Source organism: Homo sapiens, chromosome 13 (genome assembly GCF_000001405.40).
Source record: "Homo sapiens chromosome 13, GRCh38.p14 Primary Assembly".
In the NCBI taxonomy this organism is placed as follows: Eukaryota; Metazoa; Chordata; class Mammalia; order Primates; family Hominidae; genus Homo; species Homo sapiens.
This window is the reverse complement of record NC_000013.11, coordinates 37198269-37199538: the sequence shown is the minus strand read 5'-3', so window position 1 is coordinate 37199538 and position 1270 is coordinate 37198269. Positions and strand designations below refer to the sequence as shown.

The following is a 1270-nucleotide window of genomic DNA, read 5'->3' as shown; positions in this document are numbered from 1 at the left end:
AATAAAGTGTGTCATTACAATTTCAGCAAGGGAAAAATTAAGCAATGGAGAAAGAACTCTCTATTCAACAAATGGTACTGGGACAAATGTACATATTCAGAAGAAGGAAGTTAAACCCAGTTTCATATTAAAACAAAAATTAACTGAAAATTGATTATAAGCCTAAATGTAAGCACTAAAATAAAGCTTTTACAGGAAAATATAAGAATATATATTCATGACATTGGGTTAGGCAATGATTTTTAGACATGACACCAAGAGCCAAAATGACCAAAAAAAAAATTAGATAAATTGAACTACATTACAATTTTAAAAGTTTTGTACAATAAACAAAACCATCAAGAGAGCAAAAAGAGAACTAACAGAATGGGAGAAAATATTTGCAAGTTATATATCTAATAAGGGACTTATATCCAGAATTTACAAAGAACTCTTACAACTCAATAATAAAAAGATTAGTTTGTTGTTGTTGTTTTTCTAAGATAGTGAAGCAGAGGCTTTTAGCATGCCTCAGCTACTTGGAAATACCAAAATAGTGCATAAACCATCAGCTCTGTGAGCTTCAATTGAAGAAAGAAAACAGGAATCCATCAGAAGAACAAAGGACACCCCAGATCCCAGGGAGGAGAATGCAAGCAAACAGCCCTTGGGACGACATCTCACTGATAAAAGTGAATGAAACCCCAGGAGGTGCAGAGTCTCTGTGACTCACCTTTCCACTGGGGATCCTTGTAACCCAGGCCAAGGAGGAGCACTTTGTTTCCCCCAGTCCCTGGAGCTAACTTGAGGAGAGGCTTGGTGACACTGAGAGGGAAAGACAGGAAAAGCTGCTGGCATTTTTTCAGACCCAGGACCAAGGGCAGGATGCCATTTTTACTCCAGGTTCATACAAAGTCATTCTTTGGTGACCTGGCAGCCTAGCCACACAGGCATTTTAGTCTTGGGCCAAAATTTGGGGCATTTCCTTTGGAGTGGGATAGGGGTCTCCGCAGTGAGAATTGAGTAGTGAGTGTGGAAAACACCCCCAGAAGTATGTGCTGAAATTGTGCTCTCCCCAGTCATAGGTCTGCAGTGGGAGGAGAGCTACTGCAGCTACAGTTTCTACTGGGTGATGAGACTTGCAGCCAGGGCCAGTTTGTCAATCTGGAATGGATCTTTGTGTGTCATAGCTGGATGCCCAGCCTGCTTTCCCGAGATAGTGGTGCAGGGGGCCCTCTTTGCTCACCCCCAGGCATATCTCCAGTAATTTCATAGCATCCACTCACCTGGA

The 1270-nt window shown here is 41.4% G+C and overlaps 1 annotated feature.

The window, feature by feature from the left end:
• Positions 329-999: an enhancer, noted in NCBI's record as "OCT4-NANOG-H3K27ac hESC enhancer chr13:37772677-37773347 (GRCh37/hg19 assembly coordinates)". NCBI's record gives its function as "activates a minimal SCP1, AML or CMV promoter by ChIP-STARR-seq in naive H9 embryonic stem cells {active_cell/tissue: H9 hESC(naive)}" and the evidence as "EXISTENCE:reporter gene assay evidence [ECO:0000049][PMID:30033119]".